The sequence below is a fragment of the Homo sapiens genome, chromosome 8 (assembly GCF_000001405.40).
Source record: "Homo sapiens chromosome 8, GRCh38.p14 Primary Assembly".
Classification (NCBI taxonomy): Eukaryota; Metazoa; Chordata; class Mammalia; order Primates; family Hominidae; genus Homo; species Homo sapiens.
In genome coordinates, this window is record NC_000008.11 from 34,497,940 (window position 1) to 34,519,241 (window position 21,302).

Consider the following 21,302-nt stretch of genomic DNA (forward strand, 5'->3'; position numbering starts at 1 on the left):
AGCGGCTTGCTTTAAACAATGTTGATTCCTTAAAAAAAAACTTTTTTTTTTTAAGTTAAACAACAGGCTCCTTGGCCATTTCTAAGAGACCTTCAGCTTTTGGACCTCGTGTTCGGATCCCTTTTCCTCCTCTGTCTTTGCCTTTCTCTTTCAGCAGCAAAGCCACATAGCCCTCATTTTCTTCTTTAGAGCAATTTTGTTCTCTTTATTTCTTATCCTCAAACTTAGCTGATGTCTCTGTTAAAGTTTTGAAATTTTTATTTGGAAGAACCCATCAAGTTATATTTCTGCTAAAGTGGTTTTTCCAGTTCTTATTTATGAGAAGGGCTGTTTTATTAAGCACAAATTTTATTAATATAGTTTAAGTGCCATCACACATTTGGGGGGTTACTTCTATTTAATATTTTCATCAGTCAAATTAAGTGTATAATTTAGCATGGAGATTTGTACCTATCGGGAGTGTCCTAAGAATAAACATGTTCAGGTAATGTAAAGCAATCACATTGGCTGATTTGAATTTTATTTTCTGGCCTCGGGCCACATGATGGTGAAAGGATTAAATGTAAGTTACACTAGCAAGCAACAGAAGAGAAAAACTGGATAATTCAGCTATAAAATCACTGATTCGAGCATACCACCTCCATGGTCTCTGAGGAGCTGCGGAAATACTGTTCACAGCACTTTCTTTCAGAAGCAGTTCTTCCAGACCTGCTACAACAGCTGATTGTGATGTTCAGCAGGGAAACTCAGGCAGATGTTGCATAAGGTCCTTTTTCTCACCTCCTACAGGAGTGCAATATGAATTAAAAGAACATTTATATTGTTAAACCCACCAAAAACGAAATACTGTCCCCAAGCCTCATGGTACAGAGCTACAGAGGCTAAACATAGCTTGATTTTTCAAGCGAAGGGTCTCTCAATATCTGTGTTTGAATATTAAGAGAGGGAGGAATAACAGAGGAAAGAGAGTTACTGTGAAAGAAAAGTATATTCAGGTAATTAAGTACATACAGAGAATGACAGTCAGAATTTTAAATTAACAAGCCCAACATTACTGGAAAGGAATGTGTCTCTTTCTGTGGCCTTGGCTTACTCCCAATGTAGAAGCACTATCTGCCTAAAATTATCAGCTACAGTGGAGTCTGTTCCGTGGTCTCCGTGTGCAGCACAATCATCCAAGGTCTATGCTTGATGGCCCCTGTAATACCATGTTACTGGAGGGAAACACTAAAATATCTATTTATATATACCTTTGATCTCATTATATTACTTTTCTTTTATAGCTTATTTAACGTACATATTCCACAGTGCATTTATATCACTTACAAATAAACGTGTGTAGATGTATACACACCCATGCACTTAATTTTTTTGCAATAAGGAATTTATAATAAAAGTAATTTTGAATACCACTATTTTAAAGGATTTATGGAGTCATCAGGTATCTGTTTACAAATGGGATTGAAAATACTCTGGTGAAAAAACTCAATCTCACTTTGGCTGTATCTGAAAGTTCAATGGAAACTACATGGCAAATCCTTTAGAACTGGCCTAGATTTTTTTTTTCTTGCTTAAGGACTTGTACAGATAGAGATCACTTTCCAGACACCTACTTAGGAATAAGCCCTTTTGTAACAGCTTGAGAAGAAAATGGTTTTCTGGGGTTCTTAGGAAATGGGACTGGTACAAAGGAAGGATGCTAACGTCTTTAAAAAGACAAGCTCTTTTTACATTGTAAATAAATGGGTGATTTTCATGATTTTTACCTTTGCTTTGTTAAGTTGTCACCTATTTGGACACTCTCAACCTACATATGGAGTTGAAACCGTGAGCATCAACCCATATTCCAAGGCTCCGCAGGAACTCCGTATATGATGGAAGATCAGACACGTCACGGTCAACTACAGAGGCATGCATTTTCCTAATAACCAGTTCTCACCAAAGAAGCTAAGTATATCTACAGGCAGAGCATGATGTGGTGACAACTAATGTTTTAGTTTTAAAACTATTCACGGCTGAGGCATCAAAGTCTGTTGTCATGAATAATGTAGTTCTGCAAATGATGTGAATTGATGGGACAGTTTTATTGTGAATGTCAGGTTTAGGCTTAGGTCAGAATTTCAGTTTTACTTTTTTTTTTTTTTGAACATAAATATTAGCATAGAAATTTGCTACATCCCTACCCCCTGAAACAAAAAGGAGAAAATAAAATTTTGCTGATTTCAGAAACCTGGCAAATATATTTTTTAAAGTTAGGGTGAAACTTGGTTTTTACTTGTAAGTCTGAGCATTCTTTAACTTGGTTTACCCTAAAATAAAACGGGCAATGACTCTAGGTTGGATGAGGCCAGATTCATGAAGACCTGGGCCTTCCCAAGGGATGACATTTTTACTTCCTACAACTGGGAAAATCAACAGAAATTTGAAATTGCTTCTCTGGGCCATAAAATAACAAGGGATCTGAGTTTATCTACCTTGATTACCACAGAATTAAATAAACTAAAAATAGCTTGGTTAGGAGACTGATAGAAAAATACCCTGGGAAGGTCTTTTTTTATGGGAATCTTTTGGGCATGAATGACAAGACTGTCATTGATTTATGACTCTTTGTTACTGAGATGAGCATGGCCAGGCCAGTTCTATCAGCAAGAAGGCAAACTACTTAATCATATTCATATCCTCTTGATTTATTTTCAATTGCCATCACTGCTTTTTTTTTTTTTTTTTGCATTTGGTTTGGTTTGGTTTGAATGTCAGCCATCCCTCATGACCTAGGTTACAAAGGAAAAACAAAAAGAGAGGCTTTATAGGAACTTGAACATGGAATAGCTCTTTCCCTGTACTCCAGTGGTGAGTAAAGTCAAAATAAATCAGGAATAAATTCTGACAGCCAATGAGCAGGCCTCAAATTGGCCCTGAGCCATTCCATAGTTGTTTTATAATTACATCTTCACATACAGCAGATTTACATGTGTTAAGATTCATTTAGAAATGGCACATGGGCACCTGCAATTTGGCATTCCAGTTAGAGCCCTAGTGTATCACACACTTGATTAATAAACTCTGAAGTGCTGAAATGATTCTGTGTCATTAATCATATTCTCTTCTACCTCTGTATTACCTGAAATCATTAGAGGAGAAAGCCTGAAGTGCAATCAGCTACCAGCATGTTAATGCAATGACTGGACTCTTAGCTCCAAACAGGCTAAAGAAAATAAGTGGGAAATTACACTATATCTGGTTTTCATGTCGGGAAGATTGTGCTGCAACCCTTCTTTAAAACATGGGACATCTTATGAAAATCACCTTTTAATAATACCTAACAGAATTTATGACTACAGACAGACAGACAGATAGACAGTTTCACCTACTAGAATAAACATCAGAAGAGCTCACTGCTTTGTGGAGAAGGAAGTCCCCAGTAAGAATTCAGTTTTTGCCTAACAGCTGAAAGGGATCATGAAAAAACAGTAAGTTCTTCAACATCATCAGTTACCTGATTCATATTTGCACATATGTAATTCACTCCATCAGTCAGTGCTTACCAGGAGATAACACAGGCTTTTGAGGTATAGATCCATGTGTCTATTTTTCATTTAGATCGATTAGACTTATAGTCTGGATGTTTAAAGAGATTGCAGCAAAATTCAGGACATATCTGGTACAAGACCACACAATGTACATCGGCTGGTCGATGGAGACTTCTTCCCTATCAGGAATGCACTGAATTATTGTATACCTAAGAATTGATGTCTACTTGAGAAACTATAAATGAGTATAGGCTTTTACAAGGCAAAGGCAAAGAATGAAGAAATCTTTCAAATAAGACAAGATAAATCACTATGAGTTCTGGATCATAATATTGAAAGGGATTTTAATATTCAGACTGAAGTTGGGTAGAGATATTTACTTTGAATCAAATAACTTTTCTGCACATTATTTCTTATAATCTAAATAGTAAATCTTTCTATGTCAAGGATCCTGAAAGAGCAACCCTATTCCCTAATTTTCAAGAAGATTTGTTAGTGGAATTATTCCTTAAATGTTCTCCTGGCTGAACAGATCACCCAGCCTGTGATGCATCGGGCTACAATTGCTTGGTATATATGTTGAATAATATGATGAAATATGCTATTTTCCCCTATTTTTCCTATATTATTGAATTGGCCCTGGAAATTACTCAGGCTAAGAATGGAAAAATGCCATATTAGATATATACATACCTGTATTAGTCTGTTCTCATTCTGCTAATAAAGACATACCCAAGACTCGGTAATTTATAAAGGAAAGTTTAATTCACAGTTCCACATGGGTGGGAAGGCCTCACAATTATGCAGAAGGTGAAAGGCACATGTTACATGGTGGCAGGCAAGAGAGAATGAGAATCAAGTGAAATGGGTTTCCCCTTATAAAACCATCGGATCTCATGAGACTTTATTCACTACCATGAGAACAGCATGTTGGAATCTGCCCCCATGATTCAATTATCTCCTACCGGGTCCCTCCTACAGCATGTGGGAATTATGGGAGGTACAGTTCAAAATGAGATTTGGGTGGGGACACAGCCAAACCATATCAACACCTCATGACAATACTCACAAAAACTCAGTAGTTCAATTCTGAGGTCTTCTCTCATTATTTGTAAAGTGAAGGACTTGGGCCAGGTGATCTCTGAGATTGTGTCCAGTTGACATGCCCCAGGAATCTTCACCGAATGCACAGAGATATAAATTCCATGAGGGCAAAGACTTTGGTAATCCTGTCCACCACAATTTTTCAAAGGAAATTTACATCCATTACTTTACCTGTTTCCCACATTAATCCTGTCAGGCAGTTGTATCAGAAACTGCTATATTTATTTTGCAGAAGGGAAACCTGAAACTAGGAAGTGAAGTGACTTTCCAAATCTCACACATCAGTGGCTAAGCCAGGACCTGAACCCATGTGTTTTATGCCCGGCTGTTGTCTAGTGGGCACCACCATCAAACACACTGAGTTGTATCTTTGGCCTAGAGCCACTGGTGTCCTGGGAAACGTTAAACAATCTGATTCCCAAGGGGGTTCAGAAATGAATACACATCTATGTACATAGATAGAGTTGTATGTATACATATATGCATACACATTTATTATCGGTTTTACTGACATGAAGGATGTATAACACATTTACAAATAATATAAAATTATATAATAATTTTTAAGCTATAGGTCATATAGCCATTGATTCCTGAAGAATGCCTTTATTGATCTCTATTAGAATTTTGCATTTGAAGCCAAGCTACGGTTGCAGTTCAACTCTGATTTGACAAATAGAGTTTCTTCCCAATCTACTAGCAATTTCCCAAAAAATGTATGGTCATTACATTTGATGTGCTGTACTGTTAAACAATTTCTAACCCTTATATAATTATATTGGTTAAACTGAAACCTTTTTCAGCTTCCACTAAGACAACTTCCTATTTGTTGTGTTTGTTGATTTCAGAGTTGGAAATACTCCATGGCCAAGATCAAGCCACCAATGTGACATTACCAAGTAGAGTCGGGATGAGATGCACAGTAATGCACTGTCATATAGTATTTCCATTCTAGAGATACAACAGACATAAATAAACTCAACACCATAGGTAATAATAAAATGTAATGAAATAATTAGGAAGTAATGAGTTTCAAACATTTATTATCTTTGACTTTAATATAAATTATTTTATTGTAAGCTTATATAACTTAAGTTTTAAAAATGACTGTTTAACAACCAGTTTGAGTTTGCAACATTTCTGAAAAGTTAATAATTGTCTTTGTTACAAACAGAGCCATAGATACGTGAACATTTTTCACTTCCCAAGTAATCCTATGCTTTTACAGCCCTAGGTATTGTAGAGTTCAAATGGAAATTTCTTTGCCCATTCTGAGGTATACTTAATCATAAGGTGCATATGATATTTCTATGTTTGTGGTTATCGTTGATGTGCAGCCAGATACTACGTGCAAATTTGGAAATGTTGAACTCTCTGACTGAGGTTCTATGAGAACACAATGGAAAATAATTGCGTTTGCTTCCCCATCCTGCCATCATTCTGACCTGGCATCCTCTCCTCTTACCATATAGATAGACTTCCTGGCTTAGCTAGCTTCCTCTTTCCTGGTTCACTCTCTAGGAATCTGAAGAGTGGCTTTCTGACTTTCTACCTAATACCATTCTAAGCACCAGTCCTTCCCACCTGTCCTTCTAAGACCCTGGCACGATACATTTATAAATGAAAGCTTATTAATCTCTACTCCTATTGCCATGCAAAATCACAAACCAAACCAACAAATATTAAAGTGAAATATTGCATCAGTTGCATCTAAGTGCAACATTTTGATTACATAATGAAGTTGAGGTCTGTGGATGACTGAGAATAGAACGATAATTACAAAGAACAGCAGTTTCTCCTTTCAGAGGCCTATAGGCCATCATCAGACAATAAGTCTCTTTCTATAACTAAAGACTTGCCCACCACATAATACTGTTCCCAAAGCTCTATCTTCAATTCCCTTCCCTTTCAGTAATATCCAAAACCAAGTGTGGTGAGGGGAGCTTACATCTGTTTCTGTTTAGAAATTTAATGCCTGCAGTGGGCAGGATTCTAAGATAGCCCTAAAATTCTCATCCCTTTTGTACATACCTTGTGGAATCCTCTCCCCTTGAGTGAGTGAGGAACCAATGACTATGACAGGATATTACTCCTGTGATTTGCTACTAATCAGGTGACTTGAGTTAATTCAAAGAGATTATTCTGGGTGAGACTGACCTGATCAGAAGGCCCTTTGAAAGAAGGTGATGTGGAGTAGATGGATGGTTACCAGAGGCTGCGAAGGGTAGTGGGGGAACTGGTGAGGGGTGAGGGGAGGTGGGGATGGTTAATGCATTCAAAATATAGAAAGAATGAATAATGCATACTGTTTGATGGCACAACATGGAGGCTATAGTCAATAATAACTTAATTGTACATTTTTAAATAACTGAAAGAGTGTAATTGGATTGTTCGTAACACAAAGGATAGATGCTTGAGGGGATGGATACCCCATTCTCCATGATGTGATTATTTCACATTGCATGCCTGTATCAAAACATCTCATGTACCTCATAAATGTATACATCTACTGTGTATCCACAAAATTTAAAGAATACAATTTTTTTAAAGAAAATGATATGTCAGGAAAACGTGTTCCTGTTAGCCTGGAAGAAAACAAATAGCCATGCTTTAAACTACCTCTGGGGTCCGTGTGGCATGACATAGTGGGTGGCTTCAGGAGCTGAGAGAAGCCTCTGGCTAAGAAAGAGCAAGAAAACAGGGATGTCAGTCACAGGGCTTCAAGGAAGTGAATTCTGCTAACTGTTGCTTGGAAAAGGATCTTTACCCTCACATGAGAATTCCAGCCTTGGCTAGAACCTTGATTTCAGTCTGGTGAAAACATGAGTAGAAGACTCAGCTAACAAGTGTTTGGACTCCTGACCCTGGAAACTATAAAATAATATATCTGTGTGATTTTAAACCTCTATGTTTTGTTATGCATCAATAGAAAACTAATAAATGGTCTGAGGCTCCCACGAACCTTAACTCCTTTAATCCACCCATAGGTCTCAGAAGTCCCAACTAGGCTTCAGTCTTGGCACTCTCTTTCAATGGACCTAGTATTGCTTAGGTCTTTTTGATTATATCATCCTTAAATCAATAATAAAATTAATTTTAACAAAATCTAAAATTATTTTTATGAGTGTATAATGCAATATAATCATGTGCAAGTATGTAATAGTTAGTGTAGCTTTAGTTCAAAACTAACTTTTGAAGGGGATAAAATATATTATAATATCTAACCACCATTGATCTGTGAAGGGCCTATATGTGTTGAACACAAGATACTTACCTGTGACTGTTTCTAATCCCACTATGGCGTCTCCAAATGACTCATGTGCTAGCTTCTCACATTTTGAATAAGTGTGCACTGAATGTCATCCCCTCTTTTTTAACTAGAGGGCATCGGTGCTGTGTCTAAATTCTCCCCTCTCTCATAATCATCATTTACTCCCTATCCTCTGCATACTTTTCATTAATATAGAAGCATATTATTTTTCTCCTGTCTTCATAACAATACCTCTCTTTTCAACCCCTTCAGCTACTACTCTTTTCCCATAAACTGAAACTGCCCAGAAGAGTTGGCTAAATTTTCTACAATTCTTCCTCTTTCATTCTTCTTCTTGCATATACATCAGTCAGACTTCCATCCCCAATATCTCACCCCATCTACTCTTAACAAGAGCTCCAGTCCTCAATCTGACTTAGTGGTATTTGACCAATTTAATTACTCCCTTCCCCTGGGAAAGTTTTCTTCACGTGGCTTCCTGCACACAACTCTCCCAGTGTTGCTCTTCTCATTGACTCTTATTTCTCAGCCTCCTATGCTGATTCCTCTTCATTTCCTTAACTTCTAAAATTAGGCTTGCTCAGAGTGTCAGATTTTGGGTCACTTCTTTTTACCTACATTTGGTGATCTTATCCAATCCTACTCTGATGACTCAAGTTCGTATCTTTATGGCTCTCACCTCTGAATTGTAGACTTGCATATTCTATTACTTATAGATACCACTACTGCAATGTTTAATAGTAACCTCAAACTTCGTGTACCTAAAATCACGCTTTTGCTTTTCCCTCTAAACCTAAATTTCCTGTGGTCTTTCCCATTTTGTCATATAGCATCTCAATCATTCTAGGTTCACAGGCAAAAAAAGAAAAAAAAGTCACCTTGGCTTCTTGACTCCTTTTTTTTAACGTCCACATAGAATCTGCTAGCGAATCCTGATTGCTACCTCCGAAATGTATCCAGAATCTGATCTCCTATTAACACGAACGCTGTCATCATTCTGTTTCAAGCGATGATCATTATCACAGTGGTCTTCAAGGTGATTTTCAGCTTCTGCCTTCATCTTCCTACAACTTGTTGTCAAACACAGTAGCCAAAAAAAATCTTTAAAAACATAATTTAGATTACTTTATAGTTAATGTTCTCCAACGTTTCTTATATCCATTAAGATAAAAGCCCAAATCATTAAAATGGGCCGTATTACAATAGCTCAAAAGGATTGCTTCCCACCCCCGTATTGCACTGTCTCAGACCTCCTCCTTTTCTGTTATTCTTCCCTCCTTTCTGGTCACTGAACTCTTCTCTCTGTCTTGCTGTTCCCTATGCCTGGAATGTTCTGTCTTCACATCTCTTTATCTCCTTCAGATCTTTGCTTTCTTCTCACTGAGGATTTTACTAACCATTCTTTTTAAAATCATAATCATTCACTACACCCTGACACCTCTTCTCCTATCTTGCTTTATTTTTTCCATATGTAACACAATCTGATATGCTAAAAATGTATTTCATTTATTTATTGACTGTCCCCTTACCCACATTAAATGAAAAGCTCCTTCAGAGCAGGCATTTTAGCCTATTCAGTTAACTGTATATCCCCAACATGGAAAAAGGAGTTGGCACATGGTAGGTGCTCAGCAAATATTTGGACTTTCCTTAATAGCTAGAAATTACAACATATCACAAATTATTGCAATTTAGAAACACTGAATTCTAATGAATTCATAATTTACAAATGATTTTTCAATTAACACTTAGCCTTTTAGTTAATAAATGGAGGTCATGTTGAAAACTGATCTCTGAAGACACCCCTGAATCTCGCCTTATCAACGTTGTTATTAGAAAATAAGATAGGCCAGGCGCGGTAGCTCACGAGTATAATCCCAGCACTTTGGGAGGCCGAGGTGGGCGGATCATGAGCTCAGGAGTTCAAGACCAGCCTGGCCAAGATGATGAAACCCGGTCTCAAAAAAAAAAAAAAAAGCTAAGTGTGGTGGCACTTGCCTGTAATCCCAGCTACCTGGGAGGCTGAGCCAGAGAATTGCTTGAACCCAGGAGGCAGAGTTGCAGTGAGCCAAGATCGTGCCACTCTACTCCAGCCAGAGCAACAGAGTGAGACATCATCTAAAAAAAAAGAAAAGAAAAGAAAATAGGATAAATACATAAAATTCAAAAATTATCTATCACACAAAACCGAAGAAGTTATCATGGTAAAAATTGTTGATGATTTATTCGTACTCCATTAATCTCTTCTTTCTTCCCAACATAGGCACCATTTTATTCAAAGAATGGTGACTCTATTCTTGCCTACAGATGTGGATATAATTAGTCTAAGAAAGATTCTATTTCTTTGCCAGAGATGTTCCAAAATGGGCACATCATCCTAATCTGATCAGTGAGACATTGGATGAGATTTGCTGGAAGCTTCTAGGAAAATCTTTAACTTCTAAAGGAGAGCCATAGAAAGCTTCTCTTGCCTTCCTGTATGTGATCAAGAAAGCAGTAGCTCTGATTTTACTTGGCAGCTGCCATAGAATCATGAGAGTACATTATTTCATGACTAATCTGTAGGAAGCACATCAGAGAGGAAGAACAAACCTGAAACTCTGATGACAGTGTTAAAGTCCTGCATCAATAAATTTTGAAGCTCACTCAATCTCTACCTTAATGAACTAAGTTTCCTTATTTTAGTAAGTTTTACAGAGGTAGTTGGTACCTGGAGCTAAAGGCATTCTAATTGTGAGAGCTAAAATATAAGCCATCAGAGAAAATTCTGAAAAATTTCTAACACACCAGTATTACAGGACAAAATTCACAGAAGCAAATTTAGCAAGAAATTTAAATTTCAACATATACATTACCAATCAGTTACCTAAAGGTAGGAGTGACCAGACTTAATAGCATTCACGTCAAAAGTATTTAACAGCTTTTATTGATGTAAACTGAATATAAACCAGCAAAGAGATGCAACTGTAATAAATTCAGCTATAATCTAAGGCCAAATTAATAGAAATATAATCAATACAGAATAATTTCTGGACCTTCATAATTCATGCACAGGGCAATACTTCATTGGAAAGTAAATTTTAAAAATAAAAATCATCAAGCAATTAAAAGTGATTTAAAGGAAGCCCAGTCCTCTCTTGTACCTTTGCATTTAAACATTGGAGGGGATTCATTTCAAATAAAGTACTTCCTAAAGTCATATTTTCTCATACCTGTCTTGCTAAACCTCTTTGAGTCTTCACCTGCTTAGAAGTCTCTATTCCTTTTCCCTCTTAGGCTTATTCTTATTTCTAATTTCCCTTCTACACTCCTCAATGTCTCTCTTAATTCTCACTCTCTCCTCTCCTACTCCTATATTATTATTCATATTTTCTATTTATTAGTAATTCAATCTTTTCAATAAAAAATCTGTCACCATTGAAAATGCTTAGGTTAGATTATGTCTCCTCCATCTCCTCTCTACTGATTAGTTTTATTAATACAATAAAATTATTTACTGACAAGAAAGAAGGAAATGTGGAAAAAAATTGTCAAAATAGATGGAATAACCAGCATGACTATTCAGAGCTAGATAGCTTTGGGAACTATTTCAATAATATCCAGTTTAAGGGATGGTAATTCCTTCATATCCTGAGACTCTAATGTTTCCTTTGGAGAATATAATATTCCATTTTCAGTATCATATCTTAACAGGGATATTAAAATATTAGTGAATATTCAAGAAAAAGTGATGTGATGCTGTATCAGTATGTTTAATAAGAAATGATGGAAGACACTGGAAAGGCTTGCTTTAGAAAAGTGCTTTGTGTTAGAGTTTTCTGCTATAATGAAAATCTTCTGTGGTGTTCAGCATTGTAGCCATTAGTATCAAGTGGGTATTGAATTCTTGAAATATGGCCACCGTAACTTTTAAATCTTATTTAATTTTATTTTATTTACATTTACATGGAAATAACCACTATATAACTCAAGAGTTTCACCAGAGAAACAATACAGTAGGATATGTAGCTCACTATCTATCTATCACCTATCTATCTATATCTATCTATCCACCTACGTATGTATGTATCTATGTATGTATGTATGCATGTATCTATATACCTATGCATCTATCTATGTATCTATCCATCTATATATGTATGTATGTATGTATGTATCTATGTATCTATCTAGAGCTTTACTGCAAGGAATTGGCTTATATTGGGGGCTGGCTAGGCAAGTTAAAAACCTATAAAGAAGGGCTGTTTGGAAACTCCTGGGCAGGAGTTAAAGCTGCATTCCACAGCACAATCTGTTCTTCTCCAGGGAAACCTCATTTCTGCTCTTCAAACCTTTCAACTGATTAGATGAGGCCTAAACATATTATCCCAAGATAATCTCCCTTACTTAACCATATTTGCAAAATACTTTCACAGTAACACCTAGATTAGTGTTTGATTGAATAAGTGATAGCTAAAGCCTAACTAAATTGACACATAAAACTAACCATCATAGCCATATAGGTTGGTGGCTACCATATTGGACAGTGTGGGTCTAGAAAAAAGGAAATTGAGGTTGGGCATGACAGATGACACTACATATTAAAATAACAGTGATAAAAATTGGGAACAGCTTTATATGTTCTGATAGTGGATTGGATGCACAAACCTAAAGGTTGAAACATCCTCTTCAAATTATTGAGAGAAAGAATTAATAGTCTTAAAATATCCAAAATTAGAATAGATCACCTGGCAAAATATTGAGCCCCTAGTTCCCAGAATTCAGAATGGGTGATTATAGGAAGAATTTTTTTACCCAGTATGGAATGGCTACCTGTCTTGGATGTTGAAGAAGGAATTATTTTAATGGGCTGGGCTTGAGCTATAACATTTTAAGACTCCATAATTTTCAGAGGTATAGAATCAAAAAGCTTAAATATATATAGGCAGACTTCCAATCAGGAAGTTATATGTAGGAAAAAGTTGAAATATGACTCTTTTTGGCATGCCTCCTTAGATGACAGGCTTGGGTTAAACATTTGTGAAACAAGGCAAGATATATAATAAAGAGATGATATGTTATTTCAAAGTTGAACATTGATAATGACTTACTTTCACTCTTACCTCAAAGCATGACACAGCACAATGAGACTGGTTAGTTTGGTAAGAAAGTAGATTTTGCAATCAAACTTAGACTAAGCTGAAATTAAAGGTATTATTTTTTCCTATAAATTGTAACAATAGCACACACAAAATGATGCTATAAAGTTTGCCTTAGTGCTCTGCGATTCTTTCACTTCTGCTTCTTGTAATTTTGTCACCATATTCCACATAAAACAAGCAAAATTCTAATTCTTCTTGTCTTGTTAAATCTTCTCTCAAGAAAGAACTTGAAACTCATTCATATACAAAACAGATGTGACTAATAATAGATTAAAATGTAATATTTTCTCTGCAATTTCAAGGTTTGATATACTGAAGTCTAATTATTGTATTTTGTAAATGATAATGTAGTGAGGTTCAGTAAAGAAAAATACATGGTGTATTTAAGATTAGGCAGTTGTTTACTAGTTGAGCCAGGGCTGGAACATAAGCCCCCCACTCACCATACCATATGCCCTTTCAACTACACTAGCTTTTAAGGTGATTATGTTGTATCAGAGATTAAAAAATACAAGTGAATAAATCCTCTTTCAAAAATGTATGTCTTTAGCAAGCAGGCAAGGGCTACATTTTAGGAAGGAAGTCTCTGGGCATTGAGTGAATCATCCTTTTGCTCCTGCCATCACACTATGCTGGATAGTTACTTCTTTCTTAAGATACATCTGTGAATCAAAATAGATGTACATACACAGGTTTTTCTTCCAATTTTCTGTGCTGCCTTAGTTGGTAGTTGGTAGGACAGGCTGGTTGGAAGAGTGAGGGTGGGGGAGCTCTTCAGTGGGGATTGAAGCATCCACAGTTAAGCAATGGTGGAAAGATCCATGAAATTGGCAATACTCAAGCCATTCTACAGAAATTCAAATTATGATACTTGGGGGATGGAGATTAGGTGATTTTTTTGTTTGTCCTTGCTCCAAATGAAGAGGTAAATCCAAATGCTGGAATATCAGCAGGGTTAGGCTTGTGTCCAGAAAACCCTGTTCAGGCCCGATTAGAATTCAAAGCCACAGGAATCTTGGGGAGTGTGTAAAGGGCTATTTAGTATGCAATGTTCACTAGAGTGTGTAAGACAGCCAAAGCTGTTCAGTTTATACTTCATCAGGAATTACCTCCTGTGTTCTCCTGCTCACAGCTGTAGAATATTTTCTTCTCCTTCTTTCTTTTTTTCTTTACCTCCCTCCCTCCCTTTCTGCCTCCCTCCCAACCCCCTTTCTTTCCTTCTGTTCTTCCCTACCTCCCACCCTTTCTTCCCTCCTTCCTTCTTTCCATCCTTCCTTTTGCTTTAAGGGTTTCTGTATCTACTATGGAATTATATAATTATACACACACACACACACACACATATCACACACACACATACACACACACAATCTTACAAGTGGAATAGAAGAATACAAGTAAAGACTAAAGAGAAGAGACTAAAATCTTACTTCATACCATTCATGCTTCCCACCTTAATTTAACTTATTTTAGAGCTCCTATTTTCATAGTAAATACTTTGTCTATGAAATTGATTATTGCCTATAGCTTGGGGTTCTCAGATTTTGTTCTATGACTTGTACCTGAAACCTGTGCAATCCTGGGACAAGTCTCTTGACATTCTGATGTCCTGTACTCTCTTGAGTTCATATTACGGGCAATCAAGAGAAGGTGTATAAAAGAATCTAGAAATATGCAGATATATTTCTGATAAACACATTGCTACTTTATGAAAACAAATTTCATTTTGCATTTGAGGAGGATACACTTATATATAGAATACTTTCTTTTCTCATTAATTGGCAGGTTAAAATATCACAGATATTTGATTTACATTTGGGAAATTAAAAATACATTAACATATTTAGAATCTATTTGTTTAACCTAGCATTTTCTAAACTTAATGCTCCATTTAACTTTTTTTTTTTTTTCGGAGTTACACTCATGTTGCCCAGGCTGGAGTGCAATGGTACGACCTCAGATCACTCCAACCTCCATCTCCCAGGTTCAAGCGATTCTCCTGCCTCAGCCTCTGGAGTAGCTGGGATTACAGGCACCAGCCACCATGCCCGCCTAATTTTCTGTATTTTTAGTAGAGATGGGGTTTCACCATGTTGCCCAGGCTGGTCTCCAATTCCTGACCTCAAGTGATCCACCTGCTTTGGCCTCCCAAAGTGTTGGGATTACAGGCATGAGCCACAGCGCCCAGCCTCCACTTAACTTTTTATTTCTATACCTTTTTTTTTTTTTTTTTTGAGATGGAGTCTCGCTCTGTCTCCCAGGCTGGAGTGCAGTGGCATGATATAGGTTCACTGCAATCTCTGCCTCCCGGTTTCAAGCATTTCTCCTGCCTCAGGCTCCCGAGTAGCTGGGATTACAGGTGCAAGCCAACACACCCTGAGAATTTTGTATTTTCAGTAGAGATGAAGTATCACCATGTTGGCCAGGCTGGTCTTGAACCCTTGGCATCAAGTGATCTGCCTGCCTCGGCCTCCCAAAGCACTGTAATTACAGGCTTGTGCTACCGGGTCCAGCATCTATAGCATCTTTTAATCCATAGCACTTACTTAAATTTCACAGGATATTAAATTAATGTAACTCACTTTTGGAAATTCTGGCCTACAAGAAAGATTTGAAGAAGCCTGTTGAATGGTGAGGTTATAGGTTAGTACCATTTTGTTGTTGTACTTTATAAATTATTTGCATTGAATACAAACCAGTTTTGCAACATGAGAAAATGGAGTAGAAATCTCTTGTTTTGCAACATGAGAAAATGGAATAGAAATCTCTCTTGTGATTCAAACTTGAGCTCATGTCCCTTAAGTCCTCCAAGGCCCATCATATCACCTTCCCTGGTTTTGCACAGCCTTTGATTTCCTTACATCCCCTAACCTCTTAGAGTTAAGATGCTAAGGGAATCCTGCACTTCAGCTTCCTTTGTCATGCGTCAAAAGGAAACTGTGATCTCAAGGTAAAACACACTGAAACTTAATCAGCCATTTATGCCTGGGACAGACTTATACATTAACATTTTTCTTTTAACTAGCTCTGGAAATGAAGAAAAAATATTTTGACCACAGGTGAAGAGGGTTGAATCAATTACTCCTCTCAGCTCATTGGCGCAGGGTTGTTACTGACCAGCCCCCTCTCATCCACATATCACCTTCTGTTTAGAACACTCTTGTGCAGGGTAACCTTTTGTAAGAATCCAGAGCCTTCTGTGGTCTCTCCACAATCCAGCTGTCAGATCCCAAGCTCCTCATTGATGACTATTCCAGCCCATGTAGGTTGGTTTACTAGATGGAGCTCCAACATCCTTTGTATTTTGTGGCATCTAAAACTTTCTCTTTTCCCCCTCCGTTTTGTTCATCTTTTCTTCTATCCTCTCCTCTTCTCCACCTATATTATCTGTTTATCTTATAATATCAAATTCAAGTCCCGCATTTATCCCACACATTATATCTCTTTGATCTGTCCAATTGTGCCAGTAGGAAAGGTCTACCTATAATGATCTGTGTTAAATAACTACACACACTCACACACACACACACAGACACACACTTGCACATGCAAATTATATGGGCTATTTTCCTCTGTCAAATAAACTGGCTTGCTCCTAATCCCAGGTGAGGGGGCAGGCACTCTCCCTATGATGGTTCAGCATGTGTTTGCTATGTGACATTTGCCCTGTATGTATTTGCTATATGACATTATCTCCTGTGCTTCTGTGAAATGTAATTTCAACTGCTGGAGTTTTGCCAGCTTATCGCTGCCACTAGCCAGTGGGGACACCTCACAGAAAGGACTATATATAAGCCGATCAAAGAACAAAGCACAGAAGACTTATAAATAGGAAGTTCTACATCCTGTAGAGGCCAAAGAGGTCAATCCTCACAAAAATCCTCTGGCATTAATCAATTGTCAGGCACTGCGTTGTAATCAAGAGTTGGCTTGCAAATAAAAATAAATAAAGTAATAGAACTTGTAAGAAGAATTGGCTTGGACTCAACAGGCTGCGACCTCAGAAGCCAGTAAGAACTTTGGACCAGGATATTCTCCAAATACAGCCAGAGTAACAGGTTGAAATACAGAAGTCCTTCCATTGATTCTGCCACATTTATCTCATTCTCATTGTTTAACCTAAAAGATATCTTCTACTATTAGACATCAAAGTTCGAGTGGTTACCTGTATGGGCAGGGTGGCAGTTTTCACACATCCTGGAAAGAGAATATTGAGATTTATTCTTTAGTCACTGTGTTTAATTGAGAGATTCTTGAACCCCGATTTAAGAAAAAACAGAAGCTGGCCAGGCATAGTGGCTCACACCTGTAATACCAGCACTTTGGGAGGCCGAGGCAGATGGATCACAAAGTCAAGAGATTGAGACCATCCTGGCCAACATGGTGAAACCCTGTCTCTACTAAAATACAAAAATTAGCTGGGCATAGTGGCACACACCTGTAGTCCCAGCTACTCGAGAGGCTGAGGCAGGAGAATTGCTTGAACCCAGGAGGCGGAGGTTGCCGTGAGCTGAGATCGCGCCACTGCACTCCAGCCTGGAAACAGAGTGAGGCTTCGGAGAAAAAAAAAACAAAAAAACAAAAACAGAAGCTAAGAGGGAGTCGCATGTACATTTGCATATTTTAGAGACCTAAGTCAGTAACACAACTACAAGAGCTAAATAACCGGGCAGCCTCTAAAAAGAGTCCTTAGAAAGTATGGCCTAGGAAGAGAACTCCAGACCTTTTGCATCCCTTGAACAAATATCCTGTATGTATTGGAAACATATGTTCGACATCAGATTTAGAATTTGTTATACTGTCAACAGCCCTGGGAAAGGAACTCTGAATTTTATCAAGAAAAGTCAGAGAGAGAAACCTCATGGTCCTCAAAATGGTTAACAGACAAGAAATCAGACCTGGTCACTTCCAATCCCTTATGTATTTTCTGTGTTTAGCCATTTCTATTATGAACTTAGTTTCCTGGAATTCATTATCCATTTGTCTTGTGGACACACTCAGTCTGTGATCCCCAAACCTAGGTAAACCCAACTTCTATGTACTTTCTTTTAACCTCAAATACTATGTCCAAACAGAATGAATCACTCTGGCCCATTCTGGCCCATTCTGCTCCTCCTAGAGACTTCCTTATTATTCTAAATGGTGCTACCATCCTCACTCTTGACTTTGTATAGCTCAGCATCCTGCCTAACCCCCTCCTTCATTCAGAAAAACTTAAACTTACACGGGAATAGGCTGGGAGCAGTGGCTCACACCTGTAATCCCAGCACTTTGGGAGGCCGAGAAGAGCAGATTGCCCAAGGTCAAGGGGTTGGAGACCAGCCTGGGCAACATGGCAAAACCCCATCTCTATGAAAAAATACAAAAAAACAACAAAAAATAGCCAGAGTGGTGGTGCGTGCCTGTAGTCCCAGCTACTCAGGAGGCTGAGGCATGAGAATCGCTTGAACCCGGGAGGCAGAGGTTGCAGTAAGCCAAGATTATGCCACTGCACTCCAGCCTGGGTGACAGAGAGAGACTTTGTCTCCAAAAACAAAAAACAAAAAAATAAAAGAAAAAAAACTTATATTGGAATAAAAATCATTGTCTAAGTGTAATAATATTAAACAAGTCCTCTCCATGAGGAACCTTTCATGAGGGTCTTGTTCTTCCATGCTTTTACTACACTGATCACTGTTGAAATTTCCAAGCCTTCAGATGAGTGTAAAAGGGAGTAATTTTAAAAAGACATACTGCCATGCAAATAAATCACAATATTTAGACCTTCCTTCTACACAATGATGGCAGGGGCTGAAGCAGGTGCAAAGGAGAGCGATTATCTTCGCTTACAGCCTGACTGACAGTCATAGAATTCATTGATTCTTTTGTATGACAAGTTACAAAGAGGATGGCTGTACTGAATATTTGCTCCTTGCAAATGTACAACATGGAATCTTGAAATGAGGCTTTGGCAGAACCATGGTGCAGAATCTTGTGCATTAATCAAACATAGCAGTTTCCTTGTTGCACCTAGCTCTCTGCTATTCTCCCAGAAAGTCAAAGTGCAAGCTGCCACAAAGCTATAGCCATCCCACCAACTTGACAAAAAGAGTGAATACATTTCAGTTACAAGGCAGCAGGGGCTACCTTCCTAGCAAGTCAGAAGTTTGGGAGCTGTTGAGCCCTCCTCATCTTAGAGTCTGTGCCCAGAGAGGACCCTTGGGTCAGACTCTTTTCTGCTGTAGTTGTTGTTTATCTTCCTGTGTGTTTATGCAAAGACAGGTGGGCTTGACTCGTGCACCACTGCAATTAATCTGGAAAAAGGACAAAATCAAATTTCAGGCTGTGCAGCTGGTTACATAATCTTCTGGAGCCCATAATCAGTTTTCTTTCTTTTCTTTTTTTTTTTTTTTTCCAAATTTCCCAGGGTTAAGGTAAGACCCAGGCACAGAGCAGCAAATCCAAGGCACTACTCAGTGATATCACTGAATCTTAGAGATGGAAGGAAGCTCAAGAAATTGAACAGACAACTCCAGCCCCCAAACGTTCCCTGGACTGGCATGCTAAACCAGAACCTACTATGACGATTTGGAATTCTGAAAAGCCTCACCTCTGATTCTCTAAACCTGCAATGATTTAACTAAAGCCCCAGACTATTCTGCAGAAAAGTATCTGCTAGAGTTTCATTCCCATAAATCTTGAACTCTTCCCACGGTAGCTGGAGAATTAGTAGTCCATCAGAAGAGGTAAAATTTATGAACCTCTTCGAGCTCACCCCAAGTACCAAAGAGAGGGGAAGTAATTCAATGAATAGCAAACTCCTTCTCAAAATTTGCCCTGAGGTTGGGAATTCTTCTGGGTGAAGGGACAGGGGTTCCCTTTGGGATTGAGCTGAGAAGATGGAGTTCTTACCCAGTTAGGCTGAGTGTAAGTTGGTAGCACAGAAATGAGTGTCTCATTGCTCATGCAGAAAAGTGCTGCCTGTGATACTGTTTATTCTAATGACCTTCACACTGAAGGGCTGTTAGTCTGCAAATGTGATACTTTCTTATCCAAAATGTGGCAAAATACTGGTGTGGAGCAAGAACTGGAACTCATTCTCCTTTGAAAAGTAATCAAATTCACAACATCCTTTAAAATAAATACACAGAAGAAACCAAGTTTTAAATAGGCATATGTTTGCCTAGAAGCAAAATAAAACATTTGAGTTTTCCCTCTCTCTGTGCCTAATTCAAATTTTGCTTGGCAGTGTTCAGATCCCACGGAGGTAACCTCCAAAGATTTTAATGTACTAGAAAGGAAGCTTTAAGAGTAATGATCCAGTTTCTCAGCTGGCAAATATTTTCTGACTCTGGACAGACCTCCCCTGATTCAGACCCTTCTGCTCACTGAAACAGAAGCATGATGGGTTCCAGTTTTGCGCTTTGGTCTGGGGAGGTGGCAGCCACACTGTTGCTCCAAGGCAGCTGTTAGCTCTTGAATTTACTTGGCAAGTGGCTGCCAACACAAGGTGCTGGGATAGATTTCATAGTACCCGCCACCACTTTATTCAATGCACAGCAGGCAAAGCTGAAGCATGCAGAGTCTCTGTAAAATGAGGCTTGCCAATCCCCACGTGTCTTTTGGCTCCTAGAAGCAAGCTGATTGATCATTAAGAGGACTGTCTGCTTTTTCCCATTTCACTCCCTGCTTTGGGATGTCTCCCCACAAAACTGCCTACAGTAAAAGTTCCTAAAAATATTTCAAACACATGCATCAAATTTGGCAGAATTGGGGAAGTCAGTAATGACCCCTATTTTCCCAGCACTTATAAGCTCCCCTCCACATACACACACATGCATACACATGCAACACACACACTCCCCCAGGAACAGTTGTAATGCACTCTTTTATAGACCATCATACTCATTGAGCTTTTGTTCGGGAATATTAGTGCAGATGCCAGTAGGAAGCTCCAGGAAGGAAAGACAAATAAAAGATTCCATCCTAAGCAACAAAAGTAAACCAGGCGTGGTGGCTCAGGCCTGTAATCCCAGCAATTTGGGAGACTGAGGCAGGTGGATCACTTGAGGCCGGGAGTTCGAGACCAGCTTGGCCAACATGGTGAAACCCCATCTCTACTTAAAATACAAAAAAGTTAGCCAGATGTGGTGGCAAGCACCTGTAATTCCAGTTACTTGGGAGGCTGAGGCAGGAGAATTGCTTGAAACCAGGAGGCAGAGGTTGCAGTGAGCCGAGATCACGCCACTGTATTCCAGTCTAGGCAAGAGAGTGAGA

At 38.3% G+C, this 21,302-nt stretch overlaps 2 annotated features.

The window, feature by feature from the left end:
* Positions 10,067–10,236: an enhancer, noted in NCBI's record as "experimental_103270 CRE fragment used in MPRA reporter constructs". NCBI's record gives its function as "activates a minimal promoter by MPRAs in K562 erythroleukemia cells, with activity observed for both the introgressed and non-introgressed 8:34365609 variant alleles {active_cell/tissue: K562}" and the evidence as "EXISTENCE:reporter gene assay evidence [ECO:0000049][PMID:34662402]".
* Positions 10,921–11,090: an enhancer, noted in NCBI's record as "experimental_103276 CRE fragment used in MPRA reporter constructs". NCBI's record gives its function as "activates a minimal promoter by MPRAs in K562 erythroleukemia cells, with activity observed for the non-introgressed 8:34366463 variant allele {active_cell/tissue: K562}" and the evidence as "EXISTENCE:reporter gene assay evidence [ECO:0000049][PMID:34662402]".